General features: G+C 36.6%; 1 long non-coding RNA gene across 1 annotated transcript in view; it reads right to left on the reverse strand.

Annotated features, from left to right (window-relative positions):
* Positions 1–21,513, reverse strand: part of LINC01594 (long intergenic non-protein coding RNA 1594) — a 50,094-nt gene that overhangs the window by 9,149 nt on the left and 19,432 nt on the right. Inside the window, exons 2-3 of the long non-coding RNA NR_131251.1 lie at positions 7,562–7,786; positions 2,258–2,385 (exon numbers count right to left, since the gene is read on the reverse strand). This is a non-coding gene — a long non-coding RNA (long intergenic non-protein coding RNA 1594). The remainder of the gene's footprint in view (positions 1–2,257; positions 2,386–7,561; positions 7,787–21,513) is intronic.

Here is a 21,513-nt window from a genome sequence, read left to right on the forward strand (position 1 = left end):
TGAAGGGTTAGGATAAACCTGGATCCCAGGCCTCACAAGCTGCAGTAAAGACTTTTAATTTGATTCCAAGTGCAGCTGCAGAGTTCTAAACCGGGAGTGGGAGCAAGTGGGTCTGGTGCAATTTGATTTGTGTTTGTAAACAGTGAGCCTAGCTACAAAGAGAAGGATTGAAAGAAAAGATTAGGAAGATTAGAGGCACTAATTTGACAGAGGAAATAAAGGACATAATACTAGATTTGGTGTGTTGCCTTATTTATTGGTAAATTGTATAGGTGTGCTGCTATCATTAGCTAAAGTCTCAAGATAAGATATACTTTGAGCGGGAAGTATCAACAATAATGGATGTAACTAACCTTGCATTTCTAATTTATTAGAATGGCATCTTGTCAGAACTAACGAAACTGTCATTAATTTTACCATGAGATGGCTGACATGGAACTCATACCAAGAGTGTAAGGGTCAATTTGACTACTTTCTTATCTTTTGCTTGTGCTTCAATTACCAATATTCAACTATGTTTTGCTTGTTTGTTTTTGCAGGACTTTTTAAGTTGTTGTCTACTTTTTTAGGTTAGTTTAGGTAAAGGTGGTTACTATAACTCACAAATCCATTTGGCTGATTCCAAAAAATCTTCCATAAGTCACTATTCACCAAAAGCAAATGGCATGACAGCTATGACAGCCCTACCAACATAAAGGCCATGAGGAAGAATACCAGCATTAAAGATAATAATGGCTAAGTTAGTTTTGCTGAAACAAAAATAAATGGAAATGAAAATTTCAATATATTCTTCCTCCAACTCTATGAATCTCCCATGCCCTGAAGTGTGCACACCCTGCTTTGGAGAAGACTGACTTAAACCAGAGGGATATTCAGTGGTAGGAAGTTAAGGAGAGTTTAGAATATTGAGCAGAGATGGGTTCCATTTCCAGACCTCCTGGGAAAAACCCAGGAGCACTGGATAAACTAAGTAATAAACTCCCTTCATCAATTATCCTAAATCTTCCCCAATTCCTCAAAGTTTAGGGGATAAAATCAAGAGCCTGCTTTCCATCTTTTTTTATACCAGGTGGCAACATAAATCCAGCTAAAGCAAAACACATAGTAAGATGCTCAGCTCACAATTCTTTGGGCCTCACAGCAGCATTTGAGGGAGAAAGGGGCACAATCCTACCTCCTCAGAGTTATCCAGCTAATGGGAAGGTGGATTATTAGCTGGACTTGAGAAGTTGTAAAGTAAAACACTAGAAAGCTAAATTTAAGTGAATAAACATTCTCCCACACTCAGTCTTTGTATTCAAAGACAGAGACACTAGATAACCTACACTCTGAGGCAACTGGTTTCTGATAGCAAACAGTAGTTGCCATTTTTGAGTGCCTCTTTGGTAACAAATTGTGGGCTCTACACCTTAGGTGTACAGACTAATTCTCACTACACCTCTGCAAGTCATATTCATCTCACTTTCTGCAGAAAGAAGGTTGAAGTGAAATGGTCTAAGGTCATTATTTTGTCCAAAACATATTTATGAATGTCTACTAGTTGACAATACTTACTCACTTATTTATTATTTTAAAAAGTAATATCAAGTGTATCTGTTGGCAACCATTATAAATCCAAGCAGAGATTGATTTGATGAACAACCTGCCATCACACGGAAATAAACAGCAGGGAGTCAAACTGGAACTGAGCTTTCTATTCCCTCTGGACCATTAGTCACACTTTCTACAAAATAATTATTGATGGAATCAGAAGTTTTGTATTATCTTTCTTAGCACAGTCTCAGTATTCAGCCACATTCTCTATTTCTTCACTTGAAAAGGCCAGAACATTAGAAGACTAGATGGTTCTTGGACAAATGTTGTGAAAATCACCACACACTGGAACCAAAGGCAAGACATAGAAAAACACAAGACACCAGAAGTGTGTGCAAGGCACTGTGAAAAGCAGTGCAGGGATTGCAAATGGCCACACAGACCAGCCTTCCACTTGCTGGCCCTATGACCTTACGAAGGCTTCTCTTCTTTCTCAACCTTGTTTTCTCATATAGAGGAAATAATCACACATAATTTAGCAGTGACATCAGGTTTAAAGAAATGAAAAAACAGCAGCATATAGAGGTTAAGAGAGTGCTCTGGAGACAAACATGTTGGACTTCTATCCTGAGCATTGCTCCCTACCCCTGTGATCCTGGGTTAGTTAACCTTATCCTTCTGTTTAAGTTCCTTAATCTATAAAATGGGTAATGACATTACTCACCTTTAAGGTTGCATTGAGGATTACATGAGTAGACACGTGAAAACTCCTACTGCAGTGCTTACCACATTGCTAATGTTCAGTAAATGTCAGCTGTGATTATGTTAATGATGATGATGATGATGAAGATTCTGAGAAGAGCAAGAATAATTATTATCATGTGTGAAGTGGTTAGAAGGCTGCAAATATATGTAATTCTTCCCATAATCAATGATCCACATCCAAAATCCCTCCTTAAGATTGAAACTCCAATTTAAGCCTCAAAATGGCAGCCCAATTACCCCAAATTGTAAAGATATTCCTGTAGAAGCCTAGCAATGTTTTCCAAGGACTATCAATGCCCTAAACCAGCTCATCTCAAACTTTTTAAAAAATAATCAAACTATTTTATTCTTTAGTTGTGAGAGTGTTAGAAACCCAATGCTTTGGCTATAAAGTTTCATACAAAATAATCAAAACACTCCAGGAGCTAAAATATCACCAGACACTTTTATGGAGTCTGATGATGAGTGAGAAAGATCCATCCAGAAAGACCTATGAAAAATCATTATTATATTATACTCAACTGCTTTCATGCACCACCTACAGATGCTCAGGGAGAAGGAAATGATAGCTCTATGTAACATGATTTAAGCATTCCAGAGACTGTTGGCTTTGCCATGAAACATCAATTTCTTGGCACTTTCACATTACTTGTTCATGTTGTCATATTTTTGGAGAAAAATAACAAAACAGTTGGACCAAACAATAATATTTCTCAAACAAATACACCTTCTGCCTTCTCTGGTGTTTTTATGTTTACATGCTTGAAAGAGCCAATAGTCATTACTACATCCAGGCAATAATATTGAAACTGGAAATGTACTTGTATCTTTGCAATAAATCACAGAAGAGAGCTGCTCTCTTAGTAGAGAGACCTAAAGATGGTAAAATAAATAGATAACTTGTCTTCTGTGGGAAAACAAAAAGTTTGTGTATGTGTGTGTCTTGGATACTACCAAAAGATGTCTATTTTTTCCTCTTTTTATGTGTTATATTCAGGCTTCCTTATATTTCTATCTTGATATGCAGAAATATATATTAATAGGTTGGAAAAATGATAAGTACAAACACAACAAAGAGCAGTAGTAATTTTCGAATTTGCTTATGCATCAAAATTACCTGGAGCTTTTTTTTAACACAGATTCCTGTGCCTAACCCCAACAGTTTCTCATTCAACAGGCCTAAGACAAAACTGAGACCTTGTATTCCTAATCAGTTCCCATCCAGGTGAAGCTGATGCTGCTAGATCAGGGACCACCATTTGAGAACCAGTGATGGAGAAGAATGGTCACCAACCTTACTTGGTATCACAGAACGAGTGTTCTGGTCTTAACACTTCTGTGTGACCCAAAGCACAATATTTAATTTCTCCAGATTAGTTTCCCAATGGTGAAATGAGGAGTTTGCACAAGACAAGCTTCGAGATTTTTTTTCAACACCAATGAACCATGAACGCTAAGCTTTCTCTGTGCCTTGTAGCCTCTGAAAGGCACCAGACTGATTCAGGTGCTGCTCCTCCATCATGCACAGGGATTCTGTCCTTGATTTGGTCTCCATCAATGATTTGCAAAGGTTGTCAAAAGCAGCAAGGGCAGTTAAATAGATGGCATCCTATTTCTAAAAAGTAAAATGTTTACAACTTGTTAGCTCTTCCTCCCATGTGTAGTAGAGAGAATACATCATCGGATTCGGCTTCAAATGAACATCCTTCATAGTGTCTGTCTTAGTAGGAGAATTGACATAATAACAAAAATTAAAATTTATATTTATCAAATACTTACTATATGCCAAACACTATAAGGTCTTTATATACATTGTCATTTAGTCCTTATTGTAACCCCGTAGGGCATTCAATATTGTTATGCTCAATTTAGGCAGCAAAATGTACTCAGAATAGCCTTTCAATCCACTCGAAGTCACACGGATCAAGCAGCAAAACTGAGATGCAAAATCAACCTAGTCTGATTTCAGATCTAGGGCCCCTGATCATGGTGAAAGTTTAAATTTTATTGCATCTATATATATATCATATATATAAAAATATATGATATATATAATATATTATATATGATATATCATATATATAAGATTGCATATATATAATTGTGTATATATATATAAATGTAATAAAATATATATAAAATTGTAGTATAAACTGCAGTTATACCCTAACTTAGGGTGAATATTTGGTTCCAACAACTGATCAGGTGAAAGGATGAGATGGGAGAAGTGTGAGGGCAGAAATTCAGTGGGCAGAGCCAGTGAGACTCATGCTGAAATCCAGGTAGATTCAAAACACAAAAGCCATCAAAGTAGGTCAAAATCAAACCCAGAGCAGCTAATGGGCTACTGGGAAGATATAAGAACGGGGAATTATATGGGAGCTAGTCCAAGATGGTTCCTGGAATAAGACTTGTTAGTACTGAAGAAGGAATCTCATTTATCTAAAGAAGCCATCCTTTGTCCTAGAGCCTGACCCTGGCTTATCACTTAACCCACTCCTACACATGGGCAAAACAAACACTAGGCTAAGAAAGGCCAGTAATCCACGGATATTATCCCAGTTCTTCACAGGGAGAAGAAAATTGACTTGATTCTTAAATTACTCAGCATCAAAATCATTTTAATTTTACCAACAAATAAAATAGGATTTTTTTTTTTTTTTGAGACAGAGTCTCACTCTATTGCCCAGGCTGGAGTGCAATGGTGCAATCTCAGCTCACTACGACCTCCACCTCCCAGGCTCAAGTAATTCTTCTGCCTTAGCCTCCAGAGTAACTGGGATTACAGGTGCGCACCACCACACCCAGCTAATTTCTTTTGTATTTTTAGTAGAGACGAGGTTTCACCATGTTGGCCAGGCTGGTCTTGAACTCCTGACCTCGTGATCCACCCGCCTGAGCCTCCCGAAGTGCTGGGATTAGAGGCCTGAGCCACTGCGCCCAGCCAAAATGGAATATTTTATATTTAGAGGACTCTGAGTGACTTACTGGAAATCTGCCCATCCTCAAAGCTCCGAACAAGTTACCAGCCAGATTCAGCGCTCTTTTGCAAAGGCCTTTTCGGCAATAGTGGCTCCTGATTTCCTCAGTAGGTCCTAAGAAGGGCCATTCTGGTTGAACAGAGGCTGAGAGACTCTTTAAACTGCATTTACTTATTCTTTTATAGGATTCTATATTTATTTGGGGTGTGTTGAAATGAATGTCTGTGGCAAGTCCAGTGTTTTAATTTTTTAATGTTACGTTTGTTGAAGATCAAAATATGCCACCCCAACATAAGCCACTTTGGCATAAGTGTTATTTTGAACTGGAGGCAAATGAGATCCAACAGATGCATGTGCCTTCCCGGCACAACCCTGATCTGAGTAAAAGCAGAAACTCCTGAGAAATGAGAACTTCCATCAACTCCTTTCATAGGGAAGTTTTCTGGCTATGAAAAGAACAAAAAGTCGGCACTGAGATGGACCTGCACAAGCAAACCTTACTCCATGAGCGCCCCCATGTGTTAACCTTCTGCCTCGGAAGGCTAACGGTCTTGTCACCACTACAAAGGCATTGCTCTTTGCTGAGATGCTATGTAAGCCCAAGTTCTAACCATCCCTTTGTGCTACTCATCACTAAGATTCCTCCTTGTACCCTGCACAGGATAATAAGCTGAAAAATCTGTTTTTCTCCTGTTACGCCGTCTTCTGTCAGTCTGATTTGCAGGGCCCCAGCAAATAACCTAAGACTGGTAAAGGAAAAAGACTTTTTACCTCCCTTTCCTGTTCATGATATCTGAGGGACTGAGAAGAGAAGAAGGAAGTTAAGCCTCCGCCTCAAGCTATCCCCTGGACCACCAACACTGTACATTCTTAGCAGGCATGCTGGAGGCTTTCCTCCATTCCAGGGGCTGCACAAGGTGTTTTCCTAGAATGAGACCCCTACTAACCTTCCCCAGGGGCTCGCAGACATATAAGGCTGGCAGACACATCAATGATGAGCTACCATGGAAGCAGAATTATATCAATAATTTTTCTCTCAAAAATACCCCCATACAGTCTTCCCCATCTCAGTAAACAATAAATGTAAATGTTATCGCAATGTTTACAATATTTTCTACATGTTTTACGTATGGTAACTGATGAAAGCATTACAACCACACTATAAAGAAATACTATCAGTAATTCCACTTTATAGATGAGGACAGTGATGCACAGAAAAGTAACTTGCCTGAGGCTGCAGGAAGTATATAACAGAATCAGGAATTAAGCCAGAGCAGTATGGCTCCAGGCTCATCATGCTAATACACATGACTCCCTTTCTAACTGGAAGCTGCATTCCAGATGGGCAGGCCCAAATGCTTGGCTCCTTCTCTTTTTCTTCCACCTTATTCCCGTTCAATTTCAAAACACATCTCACCTTCTCCTCCACTGCCTCCCTGGTCCAGGCACCGTTGAACCTCACCTAGATTATAGCGACAGCTTTTCACTGGTCTCCCAGCTTCTGCCCTTGAGCCTCCATGGTCTATTCTAATAACAACAAGAGTGACCTGGACCTGGGCTCCAAAGCCTGTGATGCTGTATGAACTCAAGGTAAAAGCCAGTTCCTCACAGTGCCTCACAGTCTTTTCAGGGCCTCCAGGTGTTCATGCCTCACTGATGGCACATCCGGGAGCTTGCATGATGACCTTGCATTGCCCACCTCAGCCTCCATACAGCCATAAGGCACAGACTTATCAATGGCACACAATCTTATCAGATCATGTATATGTTCTGCTGAAGCATTGTTAGATACGAATTTATCACAGAGCCCTAGCCATCATTAACAGAAGGTAATAATTTATAAGTGATGGACTGACTACACAGTAGGAGGCCATACCCCAGAAGTCATCCCTTGAAGGAGAACTGCCTAGAAAAGCTCCACAACCACTAACATCTATGTCCGGTATTTCGGCTACCGATACTTTGAGTTTATGTGCCGTAGCAACTGCTATAGGCAACTCAAATGGTAGTGAGAGCATAGGCTTTGGGATCAGACTGCCAGAGACTGTATCTTAGCTCTATCATTTACTATAACCTTTGCCAAGTTACTTTACCTCTGCCTGCCCTAGTCTAATCATCTGGTAAGATAGCTGTCATGAAAGTCCTGGTCCAAAATGTCAAAGTGATGAACAAATGGGCCAATATATGTAAAGTACTCACAACAGAGTCTAGTGTCTCCTAAAAACTCAAAAATGTAAGATATCATTATTAGTATTATTATAGTATTGAGAGAATATACTCACAGTCCTTAGTAGTCTTGTCTTGAAAATGATATTTCAAGGAAGTTCAAGTAATCAATGTGCACTCTAGTATATCACATCCTTGCACACGTGGCTAGAATGAACCATCTGTAGATTGCAAAGCTGAGAACCAGGCTCTGGAACAAGCAGTCTTCTCTAACATACTGCCACCAAGTGAGGGCCTGAGTGAATGACAAGCTTTGATTCCTGTAGAACATTTTATCTCTCCTGAAAAAGAAACAATCATAGAACGAATCCAATCAAATATTGTGAAACTCAATTTTAGTAATTTTAGTTCCTCTTGACAAAACAAATTCTGGGCCTAAATTTCCTAGATTATTTCTTCAAATTTCTGTATCTTATCACCTGTATATACCCAGTAAGAGCAATTATATGGAAGTAGCAAATGACCTAAAAAGACTGTCTTGAAGCTGAACCGTGAAATTACATTTATTTTTAATTTTCAGAAACCCTGGATCCTACCCTTTTATTTTATTCTTCTTTCCATCAAATGAGCCTGTCTTAGTCTGTTTAGGCTACTATAACAAAATACCATAGACTGGTCAGTTAGAAATGACAAAAATTTAATTCTCACAGTTCTGTACTGGAAAGTCCAAGATCAAGGCAACGACAGAGTCAGTAAGAGCCTCCTTCCTTCATGGACAGCAGCTTTGGCTCTGTAACCTCACATGGCAGAAGGGACTAACTAGTTCTCTAGGGACTCTTTTATGAGGGCACTAATCTTATTCTTTCAGGCTCTGTTCTTAGGACCTAGTCATCTCCCCCTAACCCCTTCTCTTAATACCTTCACCTTGGCGGTTAAGACTTCATTCAACATTTGAATTTAAGGAGATGCCAACAATCAGACTACAGCAGAGCCTAATATCTTTACATCAAGGAAGTAAAAGTACTTATTATTTATTTATTTATTTATGAGATGGAGTCTTGCTCTGTCACTCAGGCTGGAGTACAGTGGCAGGATCTTGGCTCACTGCAATCTCAACCTCCCGGGGTCAAGTGATTCTCCTGCCTCATCCTCCAGAGTATCTGGGACTATAAGTGCACACCATGCTAGCTAATTTTTTTTTTTTTTTGTATTTTTTAGTAGAGTTGAGGTTTAGTCATGTTGGCCAAGCTGGTCTCAAACTCCTGACATCAGGTCAGGCCTGCCTTGGCCTCCCAAAGTGCTGCGATTATAGGCATGAGTCACCGCACCCAGCCAGTAAAAGTATTTTAAATAAAAATTTAAGAAGTTTAATGTTTATGTGTCTCTGAAAATAAAATAATAAACAAATAGTGATTCTGAATCTTTGTTGTAATTTTACTCTACAGTTGTAATATTATATTATTTATCATAAAAATCAATGGTTTATCATTGTAACCTTGTGTGAATAATAAATTGTTCTTTCTTAAACATTAAGATGAGTTAAACTTTAACCAGATTTCAATACTCAGGAAGACAACTTTATAGTTTTTTATTGTTTTCTCACATTTGCGAATATGTTAGCTATATATAGGGATTGGGTTATGTATATGGCACTGCTAAAGTCATGTATCAAGGTTAACTGTAATTTACTGTAAAGACTGTGGTCAAATCCCCAAATTAAAAAGATTTTTAAATTGGAAGAAAGGAATAAATTTGAAATAAATTTAACTATGTCACAGTTTTAAGAGTTCTTTCACTGTACGAAATACTTTATATGAAACAAATACAAAAACTTTTCCGCTGCAAATCTCTGTCCTGACCCAAGGTCTACTTTGAGGCCATACTCAGCATTTGGCCACATCTCTTAAAACAAAGAAACTAAAATGAAAGAATAAGTGATTCAATGCCATAGTGCATTAATGATTGACAAGACTTTCATTAAAGGTTTTGCTGAAAGACAAATAAGATGGTGTACATTTCACTGTTGTGTACAATAACCATTTCATAAAAATCCCTATTAGCTATTTCTGTTCTCCCTGTATGGTTCTCTTTTCTATCAGCTCTACTCTGAATTGCTTTCATTGGCTTTCCTTGATATTTCAAGATCCCTAAAATCTCCCCCTATTAACCCAAGCAAGCCACTCTGACTTCACGCTATTCCATCCAACGAAATAAAAGCTCCTTTGAAGCAGCTTAGAAGCCATCTCTGGTTCCCAGCCATGTGGCTTTTTCCGTCATTTAATGATCAAAATAAGTTAGATAGATAGAGAAATTACTTATTGTGCTCTTCTGAAAAGGAAATAAGTATTTTTAAATCACCATTCATAAACTTCTCCATTTCTTATCAACCAGATAATAACAAACAAGATATTATTTTCCCCATTTTTCAGAGAAACGACAGAAAGATTATCCTGCCAAAGGATATCACACTACATATGATGAAATGGCTCATTGAAGCTCCATTCATTCTATTTATCATTGACGAAGTTGGTAAGATAAAAGTTACATATTCTAGGCTATCGTATAGCATGGAGTTTGCATGTAAATTTGATTCCACCAGTTAGATATATTCCCATGAGATTAAGAAGGTGGTGATGAGGCTGTTTCTCCTAATCAGCAAGTTCCTGGCAACATGAAGATATTCTTCAGCAATATTTCAGGATCCGATAAAACACTAAAAATAAAAACAACTTTTGAAGACATTGGAAAGCTACTGAATCAACTGAGATTAAAAAAACTCTTCTAATATTTCTCAATGGGGGGTTGGTCTACCACAGCTATTCCATCATAATCAGAAGGAGACTTCCAGAATGACACAAAACTAGCCCATCATGGGAACGACTTCAGGTGAAAATGCCACTGAGGTTATTGCCAAAACTGTCTCATACACAGCAATCCAGAAGATGGAAGTCAATGGTAGATTAATTGAAATATTTAGACTGAAGTACAAAGTGAAACAAGGCAAATACAGAAAAAGCATTAAGGCCAGAGGCAGTGGCTCACACCTGTAATCCCAGTAATTTGGGAGCCCAAGGTGGGAGGATCACTTGAGCACAGGAATTTGAGACGAGCCTGGGCAACATGGAGAAACCCCATCTCTACAAAAAAATACAAATATTAGCTGGATGTGGTAGTGCACGCTTGTATTCCTAGCTACCTGGGAGGCTGAAGTGGGGGGATTGCTTGACCCTAGGAGGCAGAGGTTGCAGTAAGCTGTGATAGTGCCACTGCACTCCAGCCTGGGCAACAGAGTGAGACCTTGTCTCAAAAAAAAAAATTCATTCTACTTGGCATTCTGCAAATGCCAAGCAGAATGAATATAAACAAAAATATCTCTGTGTACATCATAACAAAACTACTGAAAACCAAAGGAAAGATCAAAATCTCAAAAACAAGGTGGACAAATAGACATATTACCCAATTCCTTTTGACTTATCATCAGAAGCTAGAAGACAGTGTATTACATCTTAAAAGTGCTGATAAAATATATCCAACAACCTAGATTTCTATACCCAGCAAATAACATCCTTCAAAAACATGGAGGTGAAATAAAAATGTTTTGGAAAAACAAAACTAAACTCTGTCGTCAGCAAATCTAAACTAACAGCAATATCAAGTGGAATTCTACAGGCAAAAAGAAAAGGATTCCAGATAAAAGGACAGAAAAGCAGAAAAAAAAGAACAAAGGAAAGAGTATCCCAATAATAATGTCTTATTATTATCTTATATAATTCCATTTAGCCCCTTATTTAATTCCATTTACCAAAAGGGTATTCTACCAAAAGGGGTAAATGGAATTAAACTATTATAATATCATAGTATTGTCAAGGACATGGTAAAGTGAAACTTTATATTACAATCTCAAGGTTAATGATTAAAAGATTTAATATGAATATATAACTAACAGTAGAGTCTATTATATTTAAAATATTGTATTAATTCAAAATAAGGCAAAGACAGAGAAACCGAAATGTAAAACAAATTGAATGAAATCAATAATAGCAAGAAAATGAATAAACCCAAATACGTCAGTAATTACATAAGTTTAGCAAGAAGATAAAATGCTCCTAAGCAACATACAGACAATAATATACTCCTAAAATATATAAAGCAAAAATTGATAAAACTAAAAAGGAGGAATAGAAAAATCTATAACTAGAATTGGAGGATTTATCAGCAACTGATAAAACAAGCAAACAAAATAATTGACAAAATATTAGAATATAAGGAATTTATAATTAATCTAATTAATAAATATAAGAAACTACAACATGACAGACTATGCATTTTTTTCCAATACACATGGGATATTTCCCCAGACTAACAACAAGATAAGCTAAAAAGAAGGTCTCAAAAAATGAAAAGAATTGAAATCCTTCAGAGTATGTCTTCTGACCATAATAAAATTATGCTTAAAAAACCCAAAAATATATATGACTAAAATCCTCAGTTGTTGAAAATAAAGTAATACACATTTAAACATAAAGAAGAAATTTAAAAAATAATTAGAATGTATTCTAAATGAAAATGATAATAAAATATAACAAAGCTTATGAAACTAAGAGTTGTGCTTAAAGGAAAATTTATAGCTTTCAGTTCTTATATTAAATAGAGAATGTTGAAAATCAAGTTTTAATTATTCATCTCAAGACATTAGGAAAAGAATACCTAATGAAAAGCAAAGAAAGCAGCAGAAAGAAAATGAAGATAAAAGCAGAAATTAATGAACAAAAAATATCAATAAAGCCAAAGGTTAGTTATTTGTACTGATTAATAAAATGGATAGACTTCTAGCAAGTCTCATCAAGAGAGGAAGATAAAATCTTCAAATTCCAATATTTGGAATGAAAAAGAGAATATTATGAGAAGCACCGATATATAATAAACAGATAAGAGAAACTAGTAAAAAACTTTTTTCTAATAAATTTGAACATTTACTTTAAATAGTTAACATTCTTTAAAGAAAAAATATCCAGCTTACTAGGTGTATGGGTCTATTTCTGGATTTTTGTTGAAAGCCAAAAGAATGAGGGTAGTGCAAAACTCAGTATACCACTGGAGGCTATATGAGTAAACAGCAAACTGTTCTCATGACAGCAGGATGTTAGCAAACTGACACACTGTGTCTGCTGCCCAGAAGGAATGCTGAGGGCAGTCACCACCAAGGCACAAGTGTTTCTTGTGATTAGGCAAATCTGAAGCCTGTTAGTAATAATATGAACCTGTGATCAATCAAGCAGCTGACCAGTCGTTAGCTCCTCCTCCCTGCTCTTTCTACCCAATAAATACAAAGGACTGCAGAAGCTCAGGGCAGCTGCTTTTGCTCACTAAAAGCACAGAGCCCTCTTCTTCCCCTGGCCCCTTTTTTAAAACAGTTTCTTTTGTTTTAAGTTTTCATTTCTGTATTCATCCCCCTTTGTTCAGTCTCGTAATGACCGTCTCAAGTAGTAACAGTAATGACTATCGTAGTGACGGTCTCAAGTAGTAACCGTGGCAGTCTGCCGCAGACCTTCTATTCTATTTCTTTAATCTGTGTCTCTCCTGCCACTTATATAACATAGCCTTGACTACTATAGCCTTGTAATGAAAGAAGAATTCAGAAGAAATGGAAAAGAATGCCCCTATATTTAATAATTTGATTTTTAAAACCGTTTTGCAAAGATATATCCTGGCCCATAGGTTTCACTGGTGACTTTTTAAAAACAATTCAGTAACAAATAGCACCACTGTTACATAAAATCACATAGAAAAGAGGAGAGAGACTTCACAGCTTATTTTATGAAGCCTACATAACTTTGATATAAAGACTTGACAAGGATATTACAATAATAATTACTTGCCATTTCTTTCATAAACAAAAATATTTGTAATTAGTGAACAAAGTCCAACAATTTATAAATGTATGATAACAAGTTTTTTATCCTAGGAATATAAAAATGGCTAGAAAAAATAAGTAAATATAGATGGAAAAGAAGTGATAAATTTCAATATTTATTATTGATATTTTATTTTATTTTTAACATATTTCTTTTTTATAATCTCAACTTTTATTTTAGATTCAGGTGGTACGTGTGCAAATTTGTTACATGGGTATATTGCAAGATGCTGAAGTTTGGGGTACAAATGACCCCATTACTCAGTTAAGTTAGCATAGTACCCAATAGGCTGTCTTTCAGACATTGCTCCCCTCCTTGTCTCCCCTCTCCAGCAGTCCCCAGTGTCTGTTGTTCCCATCTTCATGTCCATGTGTGCTCAGTGTTCAGCTTCCACTTATAAGTGAGAACATGCAGTATTCGGTTTTCTGTTCCTGCATTAATTCACTTAGGATAAAGGCCTCTGACTGAATCCATGTTGCTGCAAAGAACATAATTTTATTCTTTTTTATGGCTGTATAATATTCCAGGGTGTATATGTACCACATTTTCTTTATCCAATCCACCATTGATGGGGATCTAGGTATCTAGGTTGATTCCATGTCTTTGCTATTGTGAAAAGTGTTGTGATGGACATATGGGCACTTGTGTCTTTTTACAGAATGATTTATTTTCCTTTGAGTACATACCCAATAATGGAATTGTTGGGTCAGATGGTAGCTTTGTTTTATATTCTTTGAGAAATCACCACCCTGCTTTCCGCAATGGCTGAACTAATTTACATTCCCATTAACAGTGTATAAGTGTTCTTTTTTCTCCACATCCTTTCCAGCATCTGTTATTTTTTGACTTTTTAATAATAGCCATTCTGATTGGTGTGCAATAGTATCTTATTGTGCTTTGACATGCAGCTCTCTGATAATTAATGACATTGAGCATTTTTTCATATGCTCTCTGGCTGCTTATGTGTCTTCTTTTGACAAGTGTCTATTTATGTCCTTTGCCCTCTTTTTAGTGAGGTTATCCATTTTTTCTTGTTGAATTGTCTAAGTTTCTTGTGGATTTTTCATATTAGAACTTTATTAGGTGTAGATTGCAAATGTTTTTTCCCTTTCTGTAGGTTATCTGTATACATTGTCGATAGTTTCTTTTGCTGTGCAGAAGGTCTTTCATTTAATTAGATCCCACTTATCAACGTTTGGTTATGTTGCAATTGCTTTTGAGAACTTAGTCCTGAATTTTTGGCCAAGGCCAATGTCCAGAATGGTATTTCCTGGGTTTTCTTCTAGGATTTGTATAGTTTGAGGTTTTATATCTAAAGATTTAATCCATCTTGAGTTAGTTTGTTTATATGGTGAGAGATAGGAGTCTAGATGCATTCTTCTGCCTATGGCTAGCCAGTTATCCAAGCTTTCTTGCCAAACTGTGAATAAAAGAGAACTTCCTCAAACTGGTAAAGATTTTTTTAATTAAAAAATAATTCTTAATGATGAAATGTTGAGATGAAGGTGGAGATAAAGATACCCACTTTAACAATTTCTTTTCTACTTAGAAGTGAAGAATGAATCAATGTTATGAAGTAAGAGAATGAAATAAGAATTATAAAGACAAAAGGGAAAAATCATTATTTGCAGACATCACATTGTATATGTAGAAAATCTGAAGGAATTTACAGGCATATTGCAACTAACAAACAAATTAACAAAGGTTCTAAAGTACGAAAAGATGTAAAAGTAAGTGTATCCTCGTATACCAAAAACACACAAAAGGAATGTATATTTTGGAAATTAAAAATACGACAATATCCATAAATAAATCTAACAAAAGATATCATATAAGATCTCTGCATTATTATGTTAATCTAAATAGAGGTATATGTCATGTTTGCATATCAGAAGACTTAATAAAGACTTACATTCTTTCAAAAATAATCTTTAGAGTCCACACTCTAAATACAGGGTCTCAAACCAATTCCCAGAAAAGCTGTGTTATAGTAATTAAGGTTGTGTGCTGTGGGCAGTAGCAGAGACAAATAAACCAAAGGAACTAAACAGAAAATCTAGAAACACATCCCCACACTTTATTATGGTGGAGGTAAATTGTAGTGCAAAGAGAAAAGAAACGTCTCTTCAAATAATAGTTCTGGGTCAATTACACCTTCACATGAAAAATGTCAACATTGATTCCTACTTCACAGTTGATTAAAAAGTAGACTCCAGATAGACTGGAGATCTGAGTATGAATAGTAGAACAATTAAACTACCAGAAGAAAACATAAGAGAACATCCTTGTGACCTTGGAATGAGCGAAGATTTCTCAAGCACAACAAAAGAGCTGCAGTTACTAAGAAAAACATTGATAGACTGGACAATAATCGATTTGTCTCTCAAAAGGTACAATTAAAAGAGTGAAATGTCAGGTCTATGCATTGGGAGAAGATATTTGAAATAATCACAATTCACAATGGACAAACACCCAGAATATGTAAGTAACTTCTACAAGTCAAAAAGAAGAAAACATTGTAGAAAACTGTTTCACAAAAGAAAATATCCAAATGGCCACTCAACATATAAAAAGATGCTTGAGGCCGAGAGCAGTGGCTCATGCCTGTAATCCAAACACTTTGGGAGGCCGAGGTAGGCGGATCACAAGGTCAGGAGTTCAAGACCAGCATGGCCAATATGGTGAAACCCCGTCTCTACTAAAAATACAAAAATTAGCTGGGCGTGGTGGCGTGCGCCTGTAGTCCCAGCTACTTGGGAGGCTGAGGCAGGAGAATCACTTGAACCTGGGAGGCAGAGGTTGCAGTGAGCCGAGATTGTGCCACTGCACTCCAGCTGGGGCAGCGGAGTGAGACTCCATCTCAAAAAATAAAAAATAAATAAATAAATAAATAGGTGCTTGATTTCATTAATTGTTATGGAAATAAAAAGCGGAACCACCATATAGTGTTATAACATACCTATAAAACTCTCTTACACATCTTAGGGGTTTATAAATTGGCACAACCACTTTGAGAAACATTTTGGCAATGTCTGCTAACTGCACACAACCAACCAAAAACTAGAAACTTCCTTTCAACGGTTGAATAAAGTAAAAGTAAATAAAGGTTTATTTACACTATGGAATTCTATTAAGTAATGAGAAAGAATGAAATACAACTGCATACAAATTGGATGAATCACCAAGACAAACTGAACGAAAGAAGCCAGACACAAAAGGGTACGCACTGTATGATTCCATTTAAAGTTCAAAAAAAGAATAGTGTTTGAAATCACAGTAGTGGCTGTCTTTGATGTCAGGAGAAGAAGGGAGTAGGTCAGGAAGGGAACATAAGGGGGACTTCCTGGGAGACAGTGATGTTATTTTTCTTAATCTGGGTACTGGTTGCAAAGATTTCTTCACTTTGTGAAATGTAATCAGTTGTATTCTTATAATTAGCATGCATTTCTGTTTGTCTGCTATTCTTCAGTAAAGTCTTAAAATATTAGTAACAATATTATGTGTAAAAACTTGTCAAGGGATTTTTTTAAATGAAAAACTAGTAAACAGATAACAAAAATTTACATTTTCCATATTGGAAGCAATATATAACGCCACTTGTTCATTGATGAAAAGATAGGCTCCACTTTAATAATAAAAGTGCTGTTTTTTGGGGTGATATAAAAGTGTGCTTGCATCCTATCTGAGCCACAGAATAGGTGCAAACTGAGCTGCAGTCAACTAAAAATCCAAATTCCTCAGAAAGAGCTCTGATTGTCTCAGCTTTTTAGGGTATCTTTGGCCAGAGAGAAAGATCCTGTTTTATAATCGTAGATAATCCTTCTCGAAATATGTGAGAAATTCCCAGAAAAATAAAAAAAGCAAAGTAAGAGTTAGCAGTAATTGGTGGTGGATTCATTTGGGTTATGTGGATGTTAACTTGATTTTCTTATTTTGTGACCTAAGTGGTTATGTTTAGAATGTACATTTCAAGCACAGTGCACTTTTCCCCAGCATGTGGAAAAACAAGGAAACATCTCAAGTGTTCTAACATCAAAATCCAGGCAACCAGATGGATTCCAGAACAATGAAGCTGAGTTTTTCTTTTCTCCTTCATTACTTCTCTTAGCTTGACTTTCTCAAAAAGCTGAGCCTAACATAGCTTATGAACCATTATTTTATTAGAAGCACACTCCCACATAGCAGAAATGAGGAACAAAGCTAGTAAAACAGAAGAGGCAGGGGAGCCAAAACAAGGACACATTACGCAGCTGGCCCTTGATAACTGTGGAAACTGAGCCCTTGCTCAGTTAGTGGAAGCATACCTGAAAAAGCCATGTAAAGACCATGCGATGGCTGGCCCTCAGAGGAGGCAAATACAAAAACACCTTTTAGAATATGAACTCCCCATACTTTGGGGCTGCACACACCTGGGCATTTCTGGGAAAGACGGCTGAGTGTGTGTTGTGGGCAGGAGGTGAAGGACGGCTAGGTGGCACCTGTAGAGAGCCCAGACAGAGCTAGAATGAGAGATGGGGGAGGATAAGTGGGTCTGAGGGGCATAAGAGGAATCTGGTACGATGCCATTAGCCAGATTAGAAAAACATACCATTGTTGCTGCAGCTATGGAAAGCAAATTCAAGGAAAATTTTCATTACCGGTATCATCTGTGATGTGTTGTCTTAGAAAAGATAACACCAAATCAATCTGAATTTATCTCAAGTTTAATATGAGTGTATTCACTTGAACATTCTGTGTCTGAAAATCAAAAAGAAAAATGTAAAGTCTCCCTCTAGTGTCCAAACTGTTATTTTACAATTCTGTTGGCCGTTAGACAAATAAATTTTGACAACAAAATATTGTTTAATCTTGTAGAGAAAAAAAATTGTCATTATGTGATATCAAATTATTAAATGTAAAACAGGAATCAGTAATGTTTTTTATAAAGATTGAAGGGTAAATATTTTAAGCATTTTAGAGCACATATAGTCTCTGTTGCATATTCTCTTTGTTTTGGTTTGTCTTATTTTAGCAACCCATTAAAAATATAAAAATCATTCTTAGTACACTGACCATACAAAACAGGCCAGACTAGATTGCAGTTTACTGACACCCTTGAGGGATGCCACCTGTTGCTAAAAGATACATGTAGTTATTTCTATATATATTTAGAACTAATATTTATTTACTTATTGTATGCCATATACATATTTTGATATGTATGTTTATAAAATTAGGAGGCATTTTGTCTTTAATGGCAAATAGTTACAATGTCAATTGCTTTACAAATATTCTTTGTTTCTAATGGTTTATGCCTAGGTTAAAATTCTGAAGAATCCTGATATTTTGGCAGACTCCTGGTATTTAAAAGAAACTTTATCTCATGCAGAAATTCTTAGCACAGTATTTCTAAAAACAGAGTCTTTTTACAGCTGGCCAAAATGTTTCCATTATACTTTTTTCAAGACTTCCTGTCTAATAACTAGATGGCTCTAGTTGTGTAAATTTCTGAATTTAAAACAGTTTGTTAAAATTCATTTAAAATTTTGATCTACATGTGGTAATTTTGCTCTTAGAAGGTACTCAAGACTGAGCTCAGTGGCTCACCCCTGTAGTCCCAGGCAGGCAGATCACCTTGAGCTCAAGAGTTTGAGAACAGCCTGGGCAATATGGCGAGACCCGATCTCTACAAAAAATACAAAAAAGTAGCCGGGCATGGGGGCCTGTGGTCCCAAATACTCCAGAGGCTGAGGTGGGAGGATCACTTGAGCCAAGGAGGCGAGGTTGAAGTGAGCAGAGATCAGATAGCGCCACTGCACTCCAGCCTGGACTACCAAGCAAGACCATCTCTAATAATAATAATAATAATAATAATAATAATAATAATACTCAAGCCTGTCCACTCCTTCTTCCATGTTTATGATTTCTAACATATTTCAAGATGTTATAATCCCCCACCAGTTTTCCCAGATTTCCCTTTATCTGAGATTTTTGAGATGCCACAAGCAACCAGGTTGTAGAAACTTATCTTTGAATTTGCTGTTTCAGACACAGTGCCTGCTTTTAATAATTATTAGCCTTATTACTTGGAATAAAACATTTATACTCCCTGATCTAGAGAGAAGCAAAATGGCAAAGTGGTTAAATCCAAGCACTCCAATCATAAAAATGGAGATCAAATCCCTACTATACCTCTTATTAGCTGCAGGTTACTTACCACCACTGTACCTCTGTTTCCTCATCTATAAAATATGAATACTAATAGCACTAACATCATAGGTTTCTTGATAGGCTTATTGGCACTAACCTATGTAAAATGTTTATTTAGTGACTGGAACATAAAAACTTCTTAATAATGACTTATAATTTCATATATTTTATCAATAATTATTTGTACATGTAATTTTAGTGCCTGATTAATATTACATCATAAATATGTGCTATGACTCATTTAACAATTTCTAACACTGAGATAATTTTTCAGTTTTGCATTTTAATTTAACAATGCAGTAAACATCTTTGTATATAAACTGTGGTCTCAAAATGAATTAGTATCAAAATAACAGCTATCTATGACAAACCCACAGCCAATGTCATACCAAATGGACAAAAACTGGAAGCACTACCTTTGAAAACTGGCACAAGGCAGGGATGCCCTCTCTCACCACTCCTATTCAACATAGTGCTGGAAGTTCTGGCCAGGGCAATCAGGCAGCAGAAGGAAATAAAGGGCACTCAGTTAGGAAAAGAGGAAGTCAAATTGTCCCTGTTTGCAGATGACATGATTTTATATCTAGAAAACGCCATCGTCAAAGCCCAAAATCTCCTTAAATTGATAAGCAACTTCAGCAAAGTCTCAGGATACAAAATCAGTGTGCAAAAATCACAAGCATTCTTATACACCAATAACAGACAAATAGAGAGCCAAATCATGAGTGAGCTCCCATTCACAATTGCTTCAAAGAGAATAAAATACCTAGGAATCCAACTTACAAGGGATGTGAAGGACCTCTTCAAGGAGAACTACAAACCACTGCTCAATGAAATAAAAGAGGATACAAAGAAATGGAAGAACATTCCATGCTCATGGGTAGGAAGAATCACTATCATGAAAATGGCCATATTGCCCAAGGTAATTTATAGATTCAATGCCAACCCCATCAAGCTACCAATAACTTTCTTCACAGAATTGGAAAAAGCTACTTTAAAGTTCATATGGAACCAAAAAAGAGCCCGCATTGCCAAGTCAATCCTAAGCCAAAAGAACAAAGCTGGAGGCATCACGCTACCTGACTTCAAACTATACTACAAGGCTACAGTAACCAAAACAGCATGGTACTGGTACCAAAACAGAGATATAGATAAATGGAACAGAACAGAGCCCTCAGAAATAATGCTGCATATCTAAAACTATCTGATCTTTGACAAACCTGACAAAAACAAGAAATGGAGAAAGGATTCCCTATTTAATAAATGATGCTGGGAAAACTGGCTAGCCATATGTAGAAAGCTGAAACTGGATCCCTTCCTCACACCTTATACAAAAATTAATTCAAGATGGATTAAAGACTTACATGTTAGACCTAAACCATAAAAACCCTAGAAGAAAACCTAGGCAATACCATTCAGGACATAGGTATGGGCAAGGACTTCATGTCTAAAACACCAAAAGTAATGGCAACAAAAGCCAACATTGACAAATGGGATCTAATTAAACTCAAGAGCTTCTGCACAGCAAAAGAAACTACCATCACAGTGAACAGGCAATCTACAGAATGGGAGAAAATTTTTGCAACCTACTCATCTGACAAAGGGCTAATAACCAGAATCTACAACGAACTCAAACAAATTTACAAGAAAAAAACAAACAACCCCATCAACAAGTGGGTGAAGGATATGAACAGACACTTCTCAAAAGAAGACATTTATGCAGCCAAAAAACACATGAAAAAATGCTCATCATCACTGGCAATCAGAGAAATGCAAATCAAAAACCACAATGAGATACCATCTCACACCAGTTAGAATGGCAATCATTAAAAAGTCAGGAAACAACAGGTGCTGGAGAGGATGTGGAGAAATAAGAACACTTTTACACTGTTGGTGGGACTGTACACTAGTTCAACCATTGTGGAAGTCAGTGTGGCAATTCCTCAGGGATCTAGAACTAGAAA

The sequence above is a fragment of the Homo sapiens genome, chromosome 2, assembly GCF_000001405.40.
Source record: "Homo sapiens chromosome 2, GRCh38.p14 Primary Assembly".
In the NCBI taxonomy this organism is placed as follows: Eukaryota; Metazoa; Chordata; class Mammalia; order Primates; family Hominidae; genus Homo; species Homo sapiens.